The following is a 23,629-nucleotide window of genomic DNA, read 5'->3' on the forward strand; positions in this document are numbered from 1 at the left end:
TCTTCTTCTCTTCCTAACTTTATAAAGTCCCATGACTTTATTAAGTTTTTTTTAAGTTTAAACTTGTTAAATTTAAGTGAAGGAGATAAAACGATACAAATTATAATTATGTGTATTGCCCAATCCGATTGTCTTTCATATCAAATTGGAATGGATATTTTAAAAGAATAGATGTTGATTCTTATTTTGCCTGTAATTTTCCACATGCACACTCAGACATTTCTAGATGTTTCTAAACGATACAAGGCTGTTCTCTGAACTTTTCTCATCTCCACTTATATGCTAATGTGTTCAAAGAGATACAGAATAATTTCAACACATTATTTGCCTACAAATGCTTTACCTTCTAGTGGGGGAGATGAGGCAGGAACAAAAATACCTACTAGAAGGTACAGTATGTGGTGTGCTTCAAAGCAATACTAAAGTACTAATATTCATCCAAACTAGGGGGTTTCAAAGGTAGGTGATCCTAATTCTGGCTCAAGCAATGAGGGTATGCTGAATGTAGAAGTCATTGAAAGGACTGGCAGGTTATCAGGAGAGATTTAGGGCAGGGGTCGGAGGTGGACAGGGTGCTGGGGAAATGGGGACCCTTGCTCCTTTCCCCAGCTGTCAGTACTTGCTCTGAGATGATTCCCTGGGACCAGGAAACTCAGCAACCTGTCTGGTGGGGGCTTTCAAGGTCTTATCACTTCTGTCCCTGGTTCTGTGGGTAGCCTTGACAGACTTATGCCTTTCCCTGCCCTCAGCCAATATCACATTAACTGAAAGGCACTGATTAATTATCCTTATTCTTTGATTTGTTTAACCATCCCCTCTTCCGGTTGTAGGTAGCCTGGGTGGTGGGGGTCTGTGTCTGGAGCAGAGACTGGGCCAAGCAGTTAGAACGGGATAGTATGTTCCTTACTGCCATCACATTGTGTCACCCCACCAACTCTCTTCTATGCAGGAGCTGCCAAGACTCTCCTAGAATTTGGGTCCACGTCAAAAGGGTCCTAAGGAATTGGTTCCCCCTTGGAGGAGGCTTCCTCTTGTCTAGGAGTCTCCTCAACAAGGCTGTTGCTAGTGTGGTCCACTTTCAGGGCTAACAGCTGGTTCTGATATAGTTAGGGCCTGTCAGCTCTAGCTTGGACCAAATCCCCTTGGATTTTCCTGGTGCAAACTAAAATAACATCCTTCTCACAAATTCATTAGTAATGTCCTTTGCGCAAAGCCTATGTCAACTAGTTACAGATTTTGCTAATTGTGTAATCATCCAGCCTATAGTTTTCTCTTTTTTTTTCTTTCTTTCCTTTTTTTTTTTTTTTTTTTTTTTTTTTTGAGGTAGAGCCTCACTCTGTCTCCCAGGCTGGAGTTCAGTGGTGTGATCTTGGCTCACTGCAACCTTCACCTCTAGCCTCAGCCTCCTGAATAGCTGGGGTTATAGACATGTACCACCACCAGACTACAGTTTTCTATCTTGTCTTTAAGATATGTCATGCCAAATATTAATCACGGATTTTACAGCTTGCCCTAGATAAATTAATTATGATTATGTGAATGACCTGCCTTGAAAAGTAGGAAGTTTCTCACCGTGGAGGAGTTCAAACATAAGTTGAGTTACAAACTTGTGGAAATTTAAGCATTTGATGGATGGATTTGGGGCCTAAATTATCCTGAAGGACCTGTCCAGTCCTGAAATTTTACAGTTCTATGTATTTTTTCATAGTGGTTCTATGCTGACTTCTGATGATCAAATTTCCCCCTTCTTGAGTTCATGAAAAATATGAAAGTTCAAGGAGTCACTGATGAAACTCCAAATAAAGCCAGAGAAGAAAGGTTTAAAAATTCTCCAACACTTCCTACAGGTAGGAAAAAGAATGTTCAGACATGCAAGAAAATGCTACTTGGTGTATTTATTTTTTTTCAGGCACAAATGACAAATATTTTCCTTTTTATTATGATTAAAGTTTTCTCCAATGTAAAAAAAATAAATTTCCCTTTCTTAAATTCTCACAATTCACCCATTGGAGACTAGTCCCTGCAATTGCTGTCGAACTGTCCATTTTATAGTTTGTAGGCTTTTCTTTCTTCCTTTTGGTGAAAATTAGGCCAGGCTGTGCCTGTCTTCTGTATTGTCTACCTCTTCCACTTTCTGTGCTTTCTCAAAGGTCAGTGTCAGCAGTTCTGCTGCTCATTTGCAAGTTCTGCAGTTACCTCAAGATGTGATTTATCGAGGTTAGGATACTTGAACTCACTCAGAGCAGCCATGTGCTCTCTTTTGTTATCCTTCACCTCCCTCAAATGTCAATTCCCTCTTAGCAAGACTCATTCCTGGTTCTTCAATCCATATCTCTTTCTCACAACAAAAAACTGAGGCAGAAGAGGAATGAAAGGTTTTACTTGCAGCTACTGTTTGGGAACATTAGAATGTCTTTGCAGCCCCACCTCCAGCCTCCTTTGTTCTTTGGCTACCAGCTCTAATTTAGGATGCTCTTATTGTTGACCCCCATAATTTTTAGAAGCCTTGGTTCACCGTGGTCTTTCCTCTTACTGAGGTTTCTGACTCGTTAATTTCTGTCAGATGCTTTTCCTTCATTGTCTGTCCTTCTCTCCTCATTTTGTACTTGTCCTTTAAAATACAGGCTCACTGGGAGGCTTGCCCATGCAGCTCCTTTGGAACCTCCTTCCTTTCTTCCTTGTCAGGTTCACTGGAATCATTTAGTCTTAGAAAGTGTATCATGCCTGCCTTTATTCTGACATCTCTGCTATCTTTAAAAGCATATCTGTAAAGCCTGATCTACATGTTTGGTCTACATGTCTGACTGTGTTCTTTGTTCCCCAGTCCCCCGGGACCCTAAGGTGCTGGGGCCCTGTATTGCCTTGTTATGCTGCCCTAACAGCATGCCACAGACTAGGTGGCTTAACCAACAGAAATTTATTTTCTCACAGTTCTGGAGGGTAGAAGTTCTAGATCCAGGTGTCAGCAGGATTGGTTTCTTTAGAGGCCTCTCCTTGGCTAGTAGATGACCATCTTCTCCTTGTGTCTTCACATCATCCCTCTCTGTCACTGATTGTGTTGATTTCCTCTTATGAGGACACCCGTCATATTGGATTAGAGCCTAGACTAAAGAACTCATTTTAACTAAATTACCTCCTTAAAGATGCTAGCTCCAAGTATAGTCACATTCTGAGGTACTGGGGGGCTAGGACTTCAACATATTCGTTTTGAGGAGATCACAATTTAGCCCATAACAGGCCCCTTACCTCTTTAGCAGCTGGTAGCAAAAGTCAGAATTAGAGTCACAGTCACATTTGTGGAGTGGTTTTTGTTGTTTGTTTAGCCTCTTTACCTTTTAGAGAAGAATTATCAGCAAGTCATTATGATTGTCTCTGCTGATGTGCTCTTGCTAGGCTCAGCCCAATGTTCCAAGACAGAATTCACTGGACCCTCCTCTGCCTACCTCTCCAAAAAGCAGCCTGAGTGCATGCCTTCCATGTCTTTGCCCAACAACTTCTATCAAAATCCTACTCATCCAAAAAGCTCAACTCAGATACCACCTACTGTTTTCCTGGTCTGTGCTGCCATAGTACTCTGTCTATATAAGAACATTTACGTTTATTTAATGTTTCTATTATGCTAATGTTATTTAGCTAGACCTTCTTGCTCATGTAAGATAGTGAGCACCTTTAGAAACATTTTGTTATCATGTTTATCTTTAATTGCCCTAAAGCACTAAATACTTGGTTTGGACCCAGAAACTGCTCAAGAAATACTGAATTGGTTTGAATCTTCTTATAGATTTAGAATAGCAATCAAAGCAATAAACACTTAAATTGCATTTTATAGTTACACATATTCTTAGAAGTACTCCATGACAAATCATTGATATGGTTAATATAATCACTGAGTTACTTTAATAGTTACTTTTAATGGTTACTTTAATAGTTACTTAAAGTATTTACCATAATTAAACTGCGTATCTTTTTATATATTTTTCGTGGTGATCTCACACAAAGAACTATTTATTCCTAGCACTAATTTCACATTTATTTATGGTGAAGTATCCTTTTATACATGATTCTAGATCCTTATTTTAAAATGTAGTTCCTTGGTGAAGAGAGGCTACAATTTGTAAGTATTTCCATCCCTGGCACTGTGTAGTAAACAGAGGTAATTCAATGTGGGTCACAGGGTTGCTCTCACATCAGGTATGCAGGGTTGCCATCTGACCATGGCCACAAAAGTAGTTTCTTGGGAAATAGCCCATTTGAAAGAATTATTGAGTCTAGTAAATAGGCAGCTTTCCTTTTAGGGTATCTCTCAGCCTTTTTCCTCCTTTTACCTCATCCACAGAGTGGATGTTGAACATTCATTCACTCTTCTTTCATATAAAAATATTTAATAAGCACCACTTGTAATGAATCTTATATTCAAAATAAATAGGACGTCTTAAAACAGAGTAAGGTGGCAGTAGAAGGTGTGAGGGGTGAGAAAGCAAGGCTACTGTGTTTGGTTGTGCAAGTTTACATTAAACAAGGGCATTCAGCCATAGGGGTGATGGAACTGACACCAGACTGATCAAGTCTTATCATGCCATGCATCATTGCATAAAGATGTGTTAGCCCAGAGGAAGCGGAGAAAAGGAGGGTTTTTCCTAATTAGCATAAAGACACTTCTACATTCATCAAGCTCTGCATTGAAGGACTGGATTCACCCACAGAAGGCACTTTTTTTGGTAACTTAAGTAAGGACACCCTGTGGACTAGCAGCAGCTGTGGGAATTAAGGAGAGATAGATCTACTACACATTGCACAGTTGGGGGTCCAAATGTGTTTTAAATCTTAAACCACATTTAAGAAGCTGTTGCAGAAACCCAGAAAGAAATCATGGTGCCTAGAACAAGGTAATGGCCGTGGAGATAGAATTGATGGATCTGCTGATGGGTTGGATACAAGAGGTGTGGGAAAGAGAGAGGACCCTAGAACTCTGGCATGAGCGTTTGATAACCATTTTTATAATTTACTAATATGCGGAAGACTCAGGATGAGGGCCAGAATGGTGAGGGAGAACTTGAAGAGTTTTGTTTTGAGGAGTCTCACTATAGATACTAACTGGGGATTTTATATTTTATACATACTTGGAGCCCCATAGAGCAGCCATGAGAAGGTTCATCCTTACGTATGCCCAAAACCTAAAAGAAACAAAAGAACTGGGGCTGGGAGTTCCAACAAGTCATTCAGCATCTATGAGCCTTTTGCTAAAGGAATTAGATACTCATTACTTCCAAAGTCTTTTCCTACCATAACATAATACTATTAATTTCTATTTCCTTTTGCTCATTTTTTATGATACACTCTCAGGAGGAGAGGGTGGCATTAACAACTAATGGTAAACTAATGAATGCAGATTCTCCAAGCTAAAAAACAAAATCAACAACACACACAAAGAGGCCTCAAACTGCTACCTAACCTATTTTTTGCAATAGTACTGGCTCAAAGACAGACCCTTGGAAGAGTTGTGGATCTATTTTCATGCCTTTATTGTCAGCAAATGTCATCTCTTTCACCATGACTTTGGATCTTGGGGACATTTGTGGATGACAGGGCTTCATGTTAATAGCAGTCCCCAGATAATCATCAGCCTCCAATTTGACTTTGCAAAACTGGAATGAAAGTCTTTCTTCCATAAGCCAATTTCATGAAACAAAACACAATGCCTTAATTCTTGACTCAAAGCCGAAAAGCTATAATGGTCCCATAAATGATTAAAACAGCAGCTGGTAATGTCTTGGAAACAGATTGATCAGTTGGAATGCCTTAAAATCTGTCTAGATTCTGCATGCCTTTGAGCAATATAAACTAATTCTGAGACTGAGTAAGAATGGGTGTTTAGAACTCAAAGATGTCAAGATAATTATAAAAATTCTGGCAGGGACTGAAGAATCTCTCTAGGGCAACTGCTAGCATATTTTAACACCTCAAGGTGGGTTATAAATTTTGGAAGAGCTTTGGCATATGGAAGCTCATGGATGACTCTTGTTTAACTGGCCAGGATGCTCTAAGTCAAATTTCCTAGTATTGTCATTTAGTCCTAGAAATGGGTTTTGAATGCCTACCATGTAACTGTCATGAGGATGTAGTGGTGAATAAGACAGAGTTCCCACCCTCACTGAGCATATGTCGTGGTGGGAGGAAACAGACAATAGCCTAATAAATAAAGAACATATAGAAATTCTCAAAGCAATAAAGCTGAAATGGTGAGATACTACTTTAAATTGAAATATTAAGAAAGGCCTCTCCAAATAGGTGACATTTAAGCCTCAACTTCAATGATGAGAAGGATGGAACCAACAATATAAATACTTGAGTGAAAATTCTGTCTATGTAAAGGCTCTGAGGGGAGCATGGGCTTGCCATAGTTGAAGAACAGTGAGAAGGAGATGAGGCTGAAGCCTGGTGAGGGAGGAGAGGAGTGGCAGGAAATATGATGAGAAGGGTTGGCAGAATCCAGACTAAGTGTTGCTTTCTAGAGCATAAGGATTGAGTTTAACTCTGTGAGAAATCAGTGGAGGTTTCAAACCAAGTTTTACATAAAAATAAGATCTATCAAATTAATACTTTAAGAAATACTCTAACTGCTATGTGGAGAATGGACAATGGGGGGGCATAAGTGGAAGGAGGAAGACTCACCACGATGTTATTGAAGTTCTCCAGACACAAGAAGATGGTGGGCTTGGACCAGAGAGGGAATGGGAGTGCTGGTCAGATGTGGCTAGAAGTGGAATAGAGTTTGAAGGAGGAGCTGATGGGACTTGTCAGTAGATTGGATTTTGGGCATGAGAAAAAGAGAGAGAAATAAAAGATGTCCGGATGACACATAAGTTCTTGCTTTTTAAGCAGTTGGGTGAATTGATCTTAACTGAATGAATGAAATGGGTCTTAGATGAAGAACATGTTTGGATGTGTTGAAACAGGCATTCCAAACTTATATTTGGACTTAGTAATATGAGATTCCTGTTAGATATCTCAGTGGCAATGCCTAATGGGTTGTCAGAGCTTACTGGATGAGTTACCAAATGATATGATTTGGCTGTGTCCCCACCCAAATCACATCTTAAATTGTAGTTCTTATAGTCCCTGTGTGTTGTGGGAGGGACCCAGTTGGAGGTAACTGAATCATGAATCATGGGGACAGGTTTTTCCCATGCTGTTCTTGTGATAATGAACAAGTCTCATGGGATCTGATGGTTTTATGAAGGGCAGTTCCCCTGCACACACTTTCTTGCCTGCTGCCATGTAAGACTTGCCTTTGCTCCTCCTTCACCTTCCACCATGATTTTGAGGCCTCCTCAGTTATGTGGAAGTGTGAGTCCATTAAACATCTTTTTCCTGATAAATTACCCAGTCTTGGGTATGTCTTTATTAGCAGTGTAAGAATGAGCTATTACAGTAAGTTGGTACCAGGTAGTGGGTCACTGCTGTAAAGATACCTGAAAATGTGGAAGAAACTTTGGAACTTTGTAACAGGCAAAGGTTGGAACAGTTTGGAGGCCTCAGAAGAAGATAAGAAGATGTGGGAAAGTTTGGAACTTCCTAGAGACTTGTTGAAAACCTTTGACCAAAATGCTGATAATATTGTGGACAATAAAGTCTAGGCTAAGGTGGTCTCAGATGGAGATGAGGAACTTGTTGGGAACTGGAGTAAAGGTCACTCTTGCTATGCGAAGAGACTGGCAGCATTTTGACCCTGCCCTAGAGATCTGTGGAACTTTGAACTTGAGAGAGATGATTTAGGGTATCTGGCAGAAGAAATTTCTAAGTGGCGAAGCATTCAAGAGAAAGCAGAGCATAAAAGTTTGGAAATTTGCAGCCTGACGATGCAGTAGAAAAGAAAAAACCGTTTTCTGAGGAGAAATTCAAGCTGGCTGCAGAAATTTGCCAAAGTAATGAAGAGCCAAATGTTAATCACCAAGACAGTGTGAAATATGTCTCCAGGGCATGTCAGAGACCTTTGCAGCAGCCCCTCCCATCACAGGTCTGAAAGCCTGGGAAGGAAAAATGGTTTCCTCCAGCCCCTCTCATCACAGGCCTGGAGGCCTAGGAGGGAAAAATGGTTTCATGGGCCAGGCCATGTGGTGTTGAGCCTGTAGGAATAAAGAAGTCAAGAACTTAGGTTTGGCAACCTCCACCTAGATTTCAGAGGATGTATGGAAATGTCTGGATGTCCAGACAGAAGTTTGGTGCATGGGCAAGGCCCTCATGGAGAACCTCTGCTAGGGCTATGTGAAAGGGAAATGTGGTGTGTGAGCCCCCACACAGAGTCCCCACTGGGGCACTGCATAGTAGAGCTGTGAGAAGAGGGCCGCCATCCTCCAGACCTCCACTGACAGCTTGCACCATGCACCTGGAAAAGCTGCAGACACTCAATGCCAGCCCATGAAAGTAGCATTTCATGGGCTGTACCCTACAAAGCCACAGAGGTGGAGCTTCCCGAGGCCATGAGAGCCCACCTCTTGCATCAGTGTGCCCTGGGTGTGAGACATGGAGTCAAATGAGGTCATTTTGGAACTTTAAGGATTAATGACTGCCCTACTGGATTTCAGACTTGCATAGGGCCTGTAGCCCCTTTGTTTTGGCCAATGTCTCCCATTTGGAACAGGTGTATTTACGCAATCCCTGTGCCCCCATTGTATCTAGGAAGTAACTAACTTGCTTTTGATTTGACGGGCTCATAGGTGGAAAGGACTTGCCTTGTCTCAGATAAGACTTCAGACTTGGACTTTTGGGTTAATGCCTGAATGTGCTAAGACTTTGGGAGACTGTTGGAAAGGCATGATTGTGTTTTGAAATGTGAGGATGGCCAGGCACGGTGGCTCATGCCTGTAATCCCAGCACTTTGGGAGGCAGAGGCGGGTGGATCATGAGGTCAGTGGTTCGAAACCAGCCTGGCCAATGTGGTGAAACCCCATCTCTACTAAAAATACAAAAATTAGCAGGGTGTGGTGACATGCACCTGTAGTCCCAGCTACTCGGGAAGCTGAGGTAGTAGAATGGCATGAACCCAGCAGGCGGTGCTTGCAGTGAGTGGAGATTGCGCCACTGCACTCCAGCCTGGGTGACAGAGCGAGACTCCATCTCAAAAAAAAAAATTATAAATGTGAGGACATGAGATTTGAGATGGGTCAGAAGTAGAATATGGTTTGGCTGTGTCCCCATCCAAATCTCACCTTGAATTGTAGTTCCCATAATTCCCATGTATCTTGGGAGGGACCTATGGGAGATAATTGAATCATGGGGGCAGGTTATTCCCATGCTTTTCTCATGATAGTGAATAAGTTCAATGAGATCATTGGTTTTATAAAGGGAACTTCCGCTACACAAGCTCTCTTGCCTCCGCCATGTAAGGCATACCTTGGCTCCTCCTTTGCCTTCTGCTGTGATTGTGAGGCCTTCCCAGCCATGTGGAACTGTGAGTCCATTAAAGCCCTTTTTCTTTATAAATTACCCAGTCTCAGGTATGTCTTTATTAGCAGCATAAGAATGGACTAAAATACACCAAGAGAATGAAATAGACATAAGAGAAGTCAAAGGACCAAATCCTAAGACTCCTCCATTTTCAGAGAGTGCAGAAGAAGAGTATCCAGTAAGGTCGGAGAAAACCAAGACAGTGTGGTGTCCTGAAAGCCAGAGGAAGGGAGTGTTGAGATGATGAGTAAGAAGAGGACTGATAATTGGCCATTATATTTGACAAGACAAAGGTCATGACTATGTTTGACAATAGCACTTCCTGTTAAGAGGTTAATAAAAGTTCTGAAGCGATGCATGTAAACCGATCTTTGAAGTGTTCCTGTAGAGGACTGGAGGTTAATCAGAGATAATTTGCAGGGTGGGTTTTTATCCCAGTTTTGCTTTTAAGGTGGCAGTTACAGCATAATTCTATGCTGTTGAGAATGATATGGGGGAAAATCGAGATGCAAAGAAAGAGAGCAGGGATACTTTCAAGAGCAAAGTCCTTGAGTAAATGAGAGAAGATGGAACTCAGGGCACAAATAGAGGGCTGGCACTGATCATAGGAGAGAATGTTCTTCCATTGAAACATTAGAGAAAACAGAATATAATGGGACCAGATGAAGTGGGTTTGTAAAGTATGTGATAAGTAAATGATGTAGAGCCCACAAAATTGCTTCCATTTTCAGGAAAATATGAAGCAAAGGTCATCAGCTGCAAATAAGGAAGGCAGAGAAAGTAGTATTGAAAGTTTAAGGAGAGAAAGAGATGGTAAGTTTTCCAGGAAGATGGTGTGGGATTATGGGGCAGTACTCAAGAGGTCATCAAGAGAATAAAATAGACAGAAGAGAAGTCAAAAGACCAAATTCTAAGACTCTTCCACTTACAGAGAATGCAGAAGAAGAGTATCCAGTAAGGTCAGAGAAAACCAGGAGAGTGTGTTGTCCTGAAAGCCAGGGGAAAGGGGTGTCCAGATGATGAGTAAGAAGAGGGAGGACTGAGGCCCCATGTGGTGGCTCATGTCTGTAATCCCAGCACTTTGGGAGGGCGAGGTGAGCAGATCACTTGAGATCAGGAGTTCGAGACCAGCCTGGCCAACATGGTGAAACCCTGTCTCTACTAAAAATACAAAATTTAGCTGGGCATGGTGAGGCACTCCTGTAATCCCAGCTACTTGGGAGGCTGAGGTAGGAGAGTCACTTGAACCCAGGAGGTGGAGGTTGCAGTCAGCCGAGATCGTGCCACTGCAGTCCAGCCTGGGTGACAGAGCGAGACTCCGTCTAAAAAAAAAAAAAAAAGTAGCCAGGCATGATGGTGTGTGCATATGATTCGAGCTACTCGAGAGGCTGAGGCAGGAGAATCACTTGAACCCAGGAGGCGGAGGCTGCAGTGAGCCAAGATTGTGCCACTGCACTCTAGCCTGGGCAATGGAGTAGGACTCTGTCTCAAAAAGAAAAGAGAAGGCGGATAATTGGCCATTGTATTTGACAAGACAAAGGTCATGGCTACACTTAACAATATCACTTTCTGTTAAGAGGTGGGGACAGAAGTTCTGAAGTGGATGCAGAACATTAGTCTTAGTTTGTGCTCTTTGTTCCAAACAGGTGCCAGCATTGAATATCTCAGTAAAAAGACCGTGGCACTCCAACAAGGACATGGAGGAGGCGTGTAACCTCAGGCACATCATTCCATTTTCAGATTCTCATGTTCTTTATCTGTACAGTCCAGATGATATTTCCTACCAGGCAGGTGATTGTCCATCTCAAATTAGACAACATGCTTGACAGGATTTTTTTTTCCTTTTTCTTTAAGAAACTTGCCTTCAGTCCTCTTTCAGTCTGTCATTAGACAAACAGCTGTAGGAATCAGTTAATTTCTATAGGCCCGTGTACTGAAGAAATTAGGTACTCATTACCTAATGTGCCCTTGTGGCCTAAAGTGAGCACTGAAATTTTGATATCTGCAGTATCAAAAGGAAAGGAACATCATGGAGGTTCCTTGACCAAATCAGACATACACAATAGGGCACTCAGGGGCTCAAACAGAAGTGGAGCCTGAAATTATTGGTGATGGAGAGCTGAAATAGTGTGCAAATGGAAGTGGAGTCAGAAAGAAGCAACTAGGGAAGAAAGGAGAATGTGGAAGCAGAAAAGAAAGGCCAGGAGTGGTGGAAGGTAGTTGTGGACTGGATGAATGTCACACACACAGTTCAGTGTTTCTGTTTAAGGTTCTTTGACTTGTCTTCATTATTACCAACTGAGTGCCAAGCCATAGACTTGGATCTCTGATTTACTAAGTCTACTTTGACAGAAGTAAGCTAAGAATGTGAGCCATGTGAGAGGCATAATATGGTGACTCTATACTCTCTCCAAAATGGGGAAAAGAAAATTGAATCAATGAAAGATTGGAATACTCCTGCTAAACCTTGTTTCTCCAAACTTTTTGGATCCCAATCTCAACCCTTTCCTTCAATCAAAAGAATTGCTAATTCAGGGCTGAATTTGCAGTTAGCTAATATTAAATAAATACAAATAAGGAAATACTAATACATTTGAGGAATATGGACACAGATATATTTAGGTAAGCCTTGGTACAACTTGGCCTGTGAAATTTTTACCTGATAGCTGAATTCCCATTTCCTTTAGTTAACGCATAGCAGAATCCAGTGAATGTGAGTTAAAAAGAGTAAAGCCACTTGTGAAAAAAATTTTCGTAGACATACTGACCCTTTTAGCCATCTCAAATCTTTGTTGGGAACAGAAAGGCGATGAATAAATAATCATAGTTCTCTTGGCTGAGTTTCTAGCGATTGGGTATTCAGTTTTGGCTGACTACACACTGAGCAGTTCCTGGTCATCCAAGCATTGTTGTAAAATCCCCTTCAAATGCACAATAGATGGGCCTTCATTATTTTTCAAAAGCCCAAGGATTGACTGCCAGAGATCACACTTCATCTCTTGTTCTCTTCATGCTAGGGCTTTCCTGTTGAGAAACTTTCAGTTAGCCAAGGGAGATACACCACTCACCTTCCTTTTGGACCATTTATTCATTCAATGTGTAACTGTCAACATGAGACAATATTACTGAAAAACACAGAATCATGATGGGAAACATATTCTACTATTTGTGGTTTCACTCCTACCCCAAAGCTGCTCTTTTTCCACTATGCCCCTATTCCCTGCCTTAGCTCAAGCAAAAGACTCACTCTCCTTTTTATTCCAAACAGAATTGATCATGGAATCCTATCAGTTCCATCTCTTTAGTATTTGCAGGATCTATTCCCTCTTCTTCATCTTCTTTACCTCCATTCAGGATCTCAGAAGTCTTTCACTCTTGGTTCTTAACTGGCCTCTCTTCTTCCTCTTTTATTTTCCTTTGCTGTTTTCCCTTTTCAGCTCAAGTGATCTTTCTAAAACTCAAAGCTATCATTCCCCTCTTCAGAATTCACACAACTGCTTCCAGTTGCCCCAGGATAAGGCCACATTCTGAAAACGACCTACAAAGTTCCCCCTCATTGGACTCCCACCTCACTTTCCACCTGCCTTTCTGGCCGCATACCTTTCTACATTCCTTTTGTGCTATATGCAGACCACATTATACTCCCTTCAGTATAGCTTAATAAATGTTGAGTGAATGAATGAATGAATGAATGTCTGCTTCCAAAGGGAGAAGGGGGCTCCAGGCAGGAGAGTTTGCCCCTTCCTTTTAAAACAATTCAGCCCCATTTCCAGTTTTCCTGAGCCAGAGCATTAAAGGCCTTTTTCCTCCTTATTTTGAAGGAAGTTTCCAATCAGTTGTGACTTGGGGGTGTGCATTTATCTCTGTCTCGTTTACTGTTGGACCCAGAGGGTGATGGAAACCATTTTGGTCTAAATGTCAGCTGTCATGAATGGGAAATCTGAGGGCACAGCTAGAGCTGACTCTGGTGGAGTGATATTTTTCTATGAAGATTGCTTTATGCAGGAAATTGTATTCAAATCACAAATCTCATTTAGAGAATTATTTTGCTGCCATCACCAGCCGCAACAGCTGATAATGCCACAGTGGTCATTCTTTGTCCCAGTTAAACAAAGTACTATCCTAGTCCGTTAAAAATAGCACTGAGCTTAAAACCATTCAAGACAATTACCAGCTGCCTAGTAATTATTCTAGAGTGAATTTTTCATTCTTACTAAGTGAGTAGGTGTGGTTTAGTATTCCTTAGTTTTCTCACATCTAATTATAAATAGATTTATTTCTTAAGCAGTATGTCTTTTTTCTAAAAATAAGTCGATGGCTGTATATCTCCTCTGCTCTGAGCTCTGATGCAACATGAATAGAAAATTCACAACAATACTATTACTCTTAAATAACAGCAGAGTACTTTGATTCATTCAATAAATATTTATTATCTATTACTTGCAAGCACAGTTCTAGGTGAAGATACAATGAACAAATCAGTTAACAGAACTTATTTCATTACTTCACAATTGTATAGGTGTTTGCAAAACACTTTTGTATACATGCCTACTTTTGATTTTCACAATAACCTCATGAGGTAGAGTGGGCAAGAATTATTACCATCCTCCTACAATTAAGACAACCTGGGTACAGAATGTCCTGAAGACTTAAATCAGAATACGTAACCCATAAATGGTAGCTCTAGCATCAGAATCAGTGTCTCCTGATGCTAGTGCCAGTGCTGTCTTCACTATCCCATTCTTCCAGTGGCAATAATTCCTTGAGCCAGAAATTATTTTGAGACACGTGGTACTTAGAAATAAGCCTGTTTCTAAGTCTCATGCATTGTGTACTGGGAGTGCAGATAGTTAAAAACACCCCACCATGAGGATACCCACTGTTGTTCAATCAGTTTCCCTTTCTTTGTACCTCTGAAGACTTTTTGCATCTTCCTTGGCTCCTGTCTTATGTCTTTTTTTATAATTCCCTCTTTGTGTGCAGCTTACACCTTGCATGGCTTTCCAGGGAAGTTGCTGTTGCCTGTATTCTCTCCAATGTATGTCTTATTTGATAACTAAGCTAATGTATTTAATTATGTGCCTTTGGGTAAGATGACTAGATGTGGACTTTATGTATAATGTTTGGACAAAGGGTACTATTGATGTGAAAGAAATAAGATAAGACTTTTAACGTATTTATTTTTATATATATTTTATTTTATTAGTAACACACATGAAGAGGAGAAGCAGAGGGGAGTTCCTTGTCCCCATTCAGGTGTCTCTTCCTGGTTCCCTTCATTTTCTCACCACTGTGTTTGGCCTATTTTATAAGGTACATCCTCTAGGTGTACCTTATATATAATGATGAATGTTAGTGTTGGATGGGCCGTAGATCCAAGGGAGAAAGTTGCATTAGGAAATGTGTTTACATGAAGGGGAATTCAGAAGAGATCTTGCTCATGGGATAGATCCACATTCCCTAGGGGCTGGAAAGAATTGTGACATTTGAGCAGGAAGGTGGTGAATGTGGCAGTGCCATGATGTCAGGCCAAGATTTTCTGATTTGAGGGCAACCTCACTTGCTGTGAAAAATCATCTAGAGTAGTGGTTCTCAAACTTAAGCAACAGAATCACCTATATGGAAGGCCTGTGAAAACAAATTGCTAGACACCACTGCCAAAGTTCCTGATCCAGTAAGTCGATGCTGCTAGTTGGGAAACCTTATTTTGAAAACTACTACAAAGCAAGGTCTTGCTACAGCTGTCAGCTATGGAAGGTATATAACCAGGAGATGGTTTGCATTAAGTTCTCTTTCTCTCTTTCTTTCTCTCTCTCCCCACTCCTTCTCCTCCTCCCCTCCTCCCCTCCTCCTCTCTCTTCCTTCTCCTCCCTCTCTCCTCCCTCCTGTTCCCCCCAAGAATTCCTATACTCAGTGGTTACCACTGACTCTCAGAGCCTGAAATGCTCATTCATGCAGTCTCTCATCTAAATAGAGTCAGAGCAACAAGGGGGCTGAAGGGAGTAACCCCAAGGTTAAAAATAGCCCGGTGGCCAAGAGAATATTCCAGGTAAGACATGAATTGAGACTGTCAGTGCCATCTGCCTCCACAGATTTCCACCTTGTGCATCCTGCATTGGGAGAAAATGCTCTGTGAGTGGCTGTGGTTCGCTGTAACACATGGGCAGATTGGATAGGTGTTCACCCTTGTTTCTCTTGTACTCTAAAAACAGTGGTGGAAACAACCTTTGAGTAAATATCAAAAAGCTGTGATTTGATATTAAAGAAGAGATAAAATACATTGGTATTCCTGGTTTCTTGGTTATTTTTTAATAAAAAAGCAACGCATTAGTTTGTGTATAATAAATAACATTTATGAACCCTTGAGAGCATTTTGCATATATAATGCATTTATCCTCACAGCAACCCAATAAGGTTGGTATTATTATTATACTCTCTTTATAAGTGAAGAAACTGAAGCATAGAGAGTTTGAATAACTTGCTCTAGGTCACATGAGCTATAAGTGACAGGAGCTGGATTTAGACCAAGGCAGTCTGGTGCCAAAGCCTAGGCATGCTTTTAACCACCATGCCATACTGCCTTGTTTTTATCCCTTTATCAGGCATTCTTCATACACCTCAATAAAATGGTCCCTGAGTTTTGAACCAAATAGACCACTGAGAAAACTACCCATAGTTAGCCAAACTTGAGGTTAAAGGCCCAGTCTCCAAGACTGTCCTCACTTCAGACACCAGCCTCAAGTTGAGAGGTCTCCAAGGCTACCCTAACTTCAGACCAGCTGGCTACCAATTTAGGGGCTCTATGGACTCCCTTAGCTTCAGTAATTCACTGGAACCACTCACAGAACTCAGGAAAGTGCTATTCTTGATTACAGTTTTATTATAGCAAAAGTATCAACATTAGAACCAGCCAAAGGAAGTGGCACATTGGCAAAGTCTAGGGGGGTTTCAAATGTGAAGCTTCTGTCATCCTCATTCGTACATTACCCTCCTGGTATCAAAGTGTGACAGTGTTCTGTGAGTATCATCAACCAGGGCAGCTCACGTGAGCCTCAGTGTCCAGAGTTTTTATTAATGTTGCTTAATGTAGGCGTGCTGGATTGAATCATTGGCAATGAACTCACTCTCCAGCCCCACTCTATTCCCTGATGGCAGGGCCTATATCATGTGGTACAAAGCTACAACCATCAAGTCACATGGTTGGTCTTTCTGTTGTGGCCTGCCCCCATCTTGAGTCACCTCATTAGCATAAATTATTAGTTGTGGTCCAGGGCCCCACCATGAATAACAAGGCACTCCAGTCACTTGGGAAATTCCAAGGGTTTAAAGGTTACCTCCCAGGAACTTGGGACAAACGTCCACTAAATTCTTTGTTATGCTAAAGCACAGAGCAGGAAGGTAGTGAAACAGAGTTGCCTGTTCAGATAGGAATTTTATGACATCTTTTAGGTCAGCAGCTCTATTTCTGTGCCAGGAAATTGTCTCACTGTCACAGAAAGGGGAAGAATTTTCTCCTGGCATTTCTGCAAATAATCAAGCACTATGTCAGAAAAGGTAACACTGGGGAAGAGAGTGTCTAAATTAGGAGGAAGCTAGAGAGCTCTGCATGGTGGAGGCTGCTGGTGAAAACCGCCCTAAAGTAATTTACAAGGAGTTCACAGGCAGACAAACCAAATACAATGTGGTCCTTGCCACAGGGAGGGAGTGAGGATCTGCTGTGTGAATTGAAGGCCACAGAACTCTGCCTTGTGAAGCTTTTATACACCCAACATGTAAATTACAGTGCTTGTGAATTGGGGTTGGTTCACATGTAAATGAGAAAATGCTTGAGTTAAGCAAGTCTGCCTCTGAAAAGAATGGATATCTAAGAACTGAAGACTGTACTTGCAAATAATAGGGATGGAGACAGAGCTGTTCTAATTCCAAGGGACTTCTAAAATGAAAAATAATGAGAAGTGGGATGGGAGAAGGGGAGGGTAAAACATCAGAAGAAGCAATCTTCCATGAAAATCTGCCTGTGTGCCATTAATGCTTGTCTTTCCAAATAAGAGCAAGCAAATGAGAAAAGAGCAAGGAGGTATAAATAAAGGGGTGGGCTCGAAGGGAAGCATGCTATGCATGGATGGAGCTTTTTATTTTAAAGGACTTGCTGTTATTAAAATATGTGCATTACATACTGTGTTTATAATTTACTCAAAACATGGGATTTCCTATTACACTCAAGCTCCCTTTTCTCTGAAATTGAAACCTCTCAAATCATATGAGTTTAATCAGGATTTCCAGTACAAAGGAAGAAGTGAAAGAATGCTTAATTTGGCCCAGGCATACGTCTGAGTACCCTGGATGTTTGCAAGATTGACTGGTTTTGCCTTCTCAGTGGCAAGCTTCCTTTACTCACTAACCACAGGGCTGGGAGAGCTGGAGTTTTATGATGGCCATGGCAGCTTTGAACTGCTGAGCCCCTTTCATCGGGTCTAATGCTGCTGATGTAAGCAACATAAACTGGCACACAATAACAATGTACAGGAAGGACTTTTTCCTTTTCCATTTAGTTATTTATAGACAGGGTCTCACTCTGTTACCCAGCCTGAAGTGCAGTGGTGCAATCATGTCTCACTGCTGCCTTGACCTCATGGGATCAAGCAATCTTCCCACCTCAGCCTCCCGAGTAGCTGGGACTACAAGCATGCACCGCCACACCCAGCTAAGTTTTAAATTTTTTTTAGAGACAGGTTCTTGCTGTGTTGCCCAACCTGATCTTGAACTTCTGGGCTCAAGTGATCCTTCCACCTTGGACTCCTTGGCTGGGATTATAGGCATAAGCCACTGTGACTGGCCCCATTTTTTTAAAGAAAAAACTGGATGCATATCTAGCTACAGCAACTAGCTGTGATTTTAATGTGACAGCCCTGGATGACAAGGGATTAAAAATGTCTGTGGATGCTAAGTGACAGTTTCACGTTGTGGCACAGCAGCTTTTGCTCTGAAATCAGCCTCAGATGGAGAGAAAGCAGCCACTGCTGTGCACCTCAGAAGCTCATCCGTGGGCTTTGAGGCTAAATTCCTCCTCTCCTCCCTGAGTTCTCCCATTTGTAGGTCTGTTTCCATCAGCTAGAGGCAAAACCAATGCTTTGCAGGAAGGAGGCTGTCTCCTTGAGAGGCAAGGGTCTCAATCCTGAAGGAAAGCTGTAAAGGAAGTGCCTATTTCAGACAGCCTGCTATGATATCATGAAGCTAGTGGAGTGGAAAGAACTGGGACCTTTGCATCTGCACAGATCTAGATTTGCACCCGTGTTTTGTGCTTAATAGTCTGGAGTAAGTATTGCATATCTCTGAGCCTCCCTTTACCCATCTGTAAAATTAGGGTAACCACCAGGTCTACCTTCCAAAGTTGTTTTGGGATCAAATAAGTCAACATTTCTATAGTTCCTGAAACACAGCAGGTGCCCCCTCCCAAGAATATGTTCAATATCAAGAACATATATTTCTAATGCAAAATTGAAGCAAGCAGTTGATTATCATCAACCTTAAAAGTTGATGGCTAATTTGTCTTATGAGCTGTCAACTTAGTGACCTCCTGCTTCGAGGATCCTATGATCCAACTGAGAACATTTATTTATTTTTTTAAATTTTATTATTATTATACTTCAAGTTTTAGGGTACATGTGCACAACGTGCAGGTTTGTTACATATGTATACATGTGCCATGTTGATGTGCTGCACCCATTAACTCGTCACTTAGCATTATTTGTTAATACACAAAGTGCCATTTGGCTCTCCTGCCCTGATGTCTGCCTGAGAAGAAGGCTGATTCTGTCTGTTTGTGGAGTGTGGGGAGCAGCCACTCCCACTGGATGTGCCCACCTGGGCCGCCAACTTCTGTGCCCAGGCCTGAGAAGCCTGACAGGGCACATTCCATCCACTTGCCGAACACACTGCCACAGAAATGGTAGGAGGCTGCTACATGGTGCGGAATGAATCCAAGAGTGTGTTTGCTGGTCTATGAAAATGCCAGCCAGAGCCCTATGAGTGGCTTGACTCTCCACCCTTTTCTTCCCCCTTGCAGGAAAGAGCGGACTTTTGAAAGGGTGGATTATGACCCAATAGATCTGGGTTTGCCTCGTTTACTGTTGCAGCTTTTCTAAACCCAGATGATTGTTCAGGCAACCTTGAAATGTTTTTTTTTCTGATCTCACATTTTAGTTTTCTGTCATTCAGTTCTGTGGCAGTTATTTTTAGCTAATAATGCCATCTAAAAAAAGTCTCAGAGTTTGCAGTAGGTTACTGTGTTTTATCAGCAGATGGCTTCTAGTAAACTTACACTTAAAAAGTAAACACATTGAAATGCTTCATATTCCTTCACAAGAATAACCATGTAGCATTTTAAATAGCAAGCACATGCATGCCAGCTCAGAAATATGCCAGGTTTTTCTTCTTCCTTCATTTCTTCCCTCCCCTTCCCTTCCCTTCCCTTCCCTTCCTTTCCCTTTCCTTCCCTTCCCCTCCCTATCTTCCTCTCTCCCACATTCCCTCTTTTCCTTCCTTTCTTTCCATTTTTAAGTACCTGTATTTAAATACTCCAATGGGCTACTTAGAGATTAAATTGTGTTTCCAGCATGGTTCAGAGGCTGTATAACATATCATTCTAGAATAAGTCTGAACAGGGCCAAATCTTGGCTTTACCATTTGTTAACTACAAGATCCTGAGCAAATTATTTAACCTCCCTAATTCTTAGTTGCAATGTCCATGAAATGCAAATAATAATATTGAGCTTATAAGATTCTTATGGATTTCAGATAATACATAAAGCACAGTGACAAACACAGTAAATGCTCAATAAATGTTAGCTATTTTCTTTATATACTTAGAGAAGATTTTGTAAGTTTTATTAATATTATTCTTGATAATTTTAAGGATTTCTCAAGTTCAGCCACTACAGAAGTTATATCATAACCAAATAAGTAAAAAGGGAGAAATAATGTGGCCCCTAATGTGATTTTTTAAAGTAAATAAAGGACTGATACATAATTCTGAACTCTCTCATCATCGTTATCTTGAAGATAGGAGCTGCAATGCTTTGGACCGGAGAATGTCACCCACCCACCATTTGGACCAGTGTACTTGCAAGTTAAAAAGACCTTGAGGCTAAATCTGCTTGTTCTCATCTCTCTGTCTAAACCCCATGGAGTAACTCCCTCCCTCCAAGTCCAGCCCCTCAGGTGTCTACTGTGACCATGATGTTCTCAGCACCTTGTCCTACACATGAGCCTTCTTGTTCCTTCTCTTCTGGACTCCTTCCACTGCACCCTCCAGAGCTGCTCCTTCACTCCTGTCTTTTCACAGCTTGTTCTTAAAGCCTTCCCTGTACTGCATCTGGGTTTCTCTTGAAGACACCATTTTCTTTTAGTCTTCTCAAAAAGTAGCTGAGTGTTACCTTGCATCTGTGGTTCCTCAGAGTGAGGTGGTAGATCTGTTACTCTGTTTGCTTGGTTGCATCTATGACCCAACCCCTTCTGTAGTGAACATGCCATTCACAGATACTATCCCTCCCTCTCCTTCTTGCTTGTTGTCTACTTCCCATTCCTGCTCATTCATTGAAGACTTTGGTAATTGGTTCACAAGCCTCATCTCGATCTTAAGTAAAGTTATAATGGATGGATTCAGTGTCCACACAGGCATTCAACATCCTGGGCCTTAGATCCTTCACTTGTTTATCTCTTCTTTCTTAATCTTTTATATTCCATACCAGAGACCTACTCTATGTCTACCCGGTGGACCTTGTTACCACCATCTCCAAAATAAATAATTCAAGCACCTTACATTCTGTCTGAAACCTTGTCTCATTTTAGTTTGCTTCACCACTCACACCGTGGTCATTCTTTGACATTTGTTTCTACTGCATCATTCCCTCCAATTCATTGATCTTTCTACGCATTGCCCAGGCATTTTTTAATAGCATCCTTATCTATTGCAGATTCCAAGGTTTCTTTTCTAATGGGACTGTTGCCAGTACCCCTAATTTCCTTCCATCTCTGTATTTTCATCACACTCTTCAGATAAAACAATTTTTCATTTCACACTTTTATGCTTAATGTGTGCCTGTTCCTGACCAGTGGAGTGCTCAAAAAGGAAAATGATACATCAAAGTAGATAGTATGATGACCTTATCCACTATCATACATCAAAGGAGATAGTATGATGACCTTATTCACGATCATACATCAAAGTAGATAGTATGATGACCTTATTCATGATCACCAACTTCAAAGGACCCTTAACATTACTTGGCAACTTTCCTGCTTTTTTCTAATCAGCTCATTGTCCCAGACTGCACAATAAATATTTCAGTGTTGCCAATCTTCTCAAATCTCAGTTATCCCTCTGTACCTGCCTCCCTGGACTTTGTAGACAAATTGGTAGTCATAGGAATGCGGTATCAAGCCTGCAACTAAGTATTGGTAATATAAAAGTTAGAAGCCTGAAAACCTATGACTGGTACCTGTCCTCTCCTCCTCACCTCCTGGTAGACTAGAAGAGCACACCCTCCTCATAACTAATAATGACCCCTCTTCCTAATCTTTGGATCCCATCCCTTCTGCTTTCTCTAGATTTTTAAACTATGAATTCTTTCTCTCTCATGTATACTCAATGTCTTTCTTTCAACAAGAACTCCTCAACTGCAAGAGAATTCTTTATTTCTCTCCCCATGTCCATCCAACAGTGCTTTCTCATTTTCCTGATGGCATCATTATTCACCCAGTTGATTATGACAAATTCCTCAAAGACAACCTTGTTTCTCTTTTTCTTACCCTGCCATGTACTCCATCAGCAAGACCTGTTGGCTCTACAGCCACTGCTAAGCTAAATCTGATCACTCCTCACCATTTCACTGTTACAGCTCTCTCACGTGTACTACAAGGTAGCTATCTAATAAGTCTTACTGGTTTAATTTTGTTTCTTTTGATCTCTTATAATCCATCTTTGCATAACAAAAAGACTACTGTTTAAAGTTTAAATGAGAACTTTCCATTCTCTCTGTTGAAAAGCCTATAATACATTTCTATTGTGATTAGAATAAAACTTCATGCCCTTTCTGTAACCAATAGGCTATGCCTCCAACTCAGATTTTATTTTCTCCCACTTCCTCTGGCTTTCACAATCACTGGCTCTCATTCAGCCCTTTGGACACACCACGTTGTGTGTTCCTGCTCAGATTGTCATCTGCTTTGGATGTTCTTACCTCATATTATTTTATGACTGGCTCCTTACTGAAATGTCACCTCCTCACAGAAGGCTTTTCTAGCCATTCTATATAAATAACATTCTACCCCCCAGCATCACTTTGTATAATTCTCTTTACAGCATTTATCATCAATAGAAACTAATGTTATTTGCTTATTACTTAATTCTGGTTTTCCCCAATGGATGGCAAGCTCAGTAAGGATAGGGATCTAGCCTGTCTTGTTTGTTGCCATCTCTGGTGCTTAGAATAGTGTCTGATACATGGTAGATGTACAAGAAATGTTGTTTAAATGAATGGATGCATACACAAAAAAACTGGATCCTTTTTATAAATGTTTAAAGCTGCTTAAGTCTGTGTCTTTTCAAAGGAAAAACAAAACAAAACAGCCCTACTTCCCTCTGTCCAATAACCCTTATCAGTTACTGCCTCATTTTCTCTTCTGAAACTCAAATTCTGTACTCTAACTTCCAAACTCTTTTCTCCCATTGTCCTTTGGACTGGATATTTACTCAATATCACCCTGAGTGACTACAGGGGGAACATATGCAGAATCTTCTTCTAGCTATTTGTTCCTCAAATAGAATACTGACAGATCTTATAACAACTCATATATTAGAAAAGATTTTCTCCATTGTCCAACAAACCTAGAAAAATGAACACTTAGCCTGTTGATATTGGGTATTTTTCCCTGGGACAATATTTTAGTTGGATCATATATGATAAGAATGGGACAGAAATGGAGATTAGACAATTTTTTCAAATAAAAAAGGCTATCAAAATAATACTGTCCACTTTTGAACTTGTGTGTAAGTTAGAAATGTATCTACACATATGGGCAACGGGTATGTGTGTGTGTCTGTGTGTGTGTGTGTGTCTATGTGAGATCAGAATTGTCTGTGTAGGAATGGTAATGAAGACAATAGTATGAATGGTGTTAG

General features: G+C 41.1%; 1 protein-coding gene and 1 long non-coding RNA gene across 3 annotated transcripts in view; both read left to right on the plus strand.

The window, feature by feature from the left end:
* SLC35F1 (solute carrier family 35 member F1) overlaps window positions 1–23,629 on the plus strand; it is a 410,408-nt gene that overhangs the window by 176,932 nt on the left and 209,847 nt on the right. The gene's annotated exons all lie outside the window — the stretch shown is intronic.
* On the plus strand, window positions 1,708–11,277 carry LOC105377967 (uncharacterized). The gene is made up of 3 exons (NR_134601.1): window positions 1,708–1,847; window positions 10,179–10,260; window positions 11,094–11,277. It is a non-coding gene; the product is annotated as an uncharacterized LOC105377967 (long non-coding RNA).

This window comes from Homo sapiens, chromosome 6 (assembly GCF_000001405.40).
Source record: "Homo sapiens chromosome 6, GRCh38.p14 Primary Assembly".
Taxonomy (NCBI): Eukaryota; Metazoa; Chordata; class Mammalia; order Primates; family Hominidae; genus Homo; species Homo sapiens.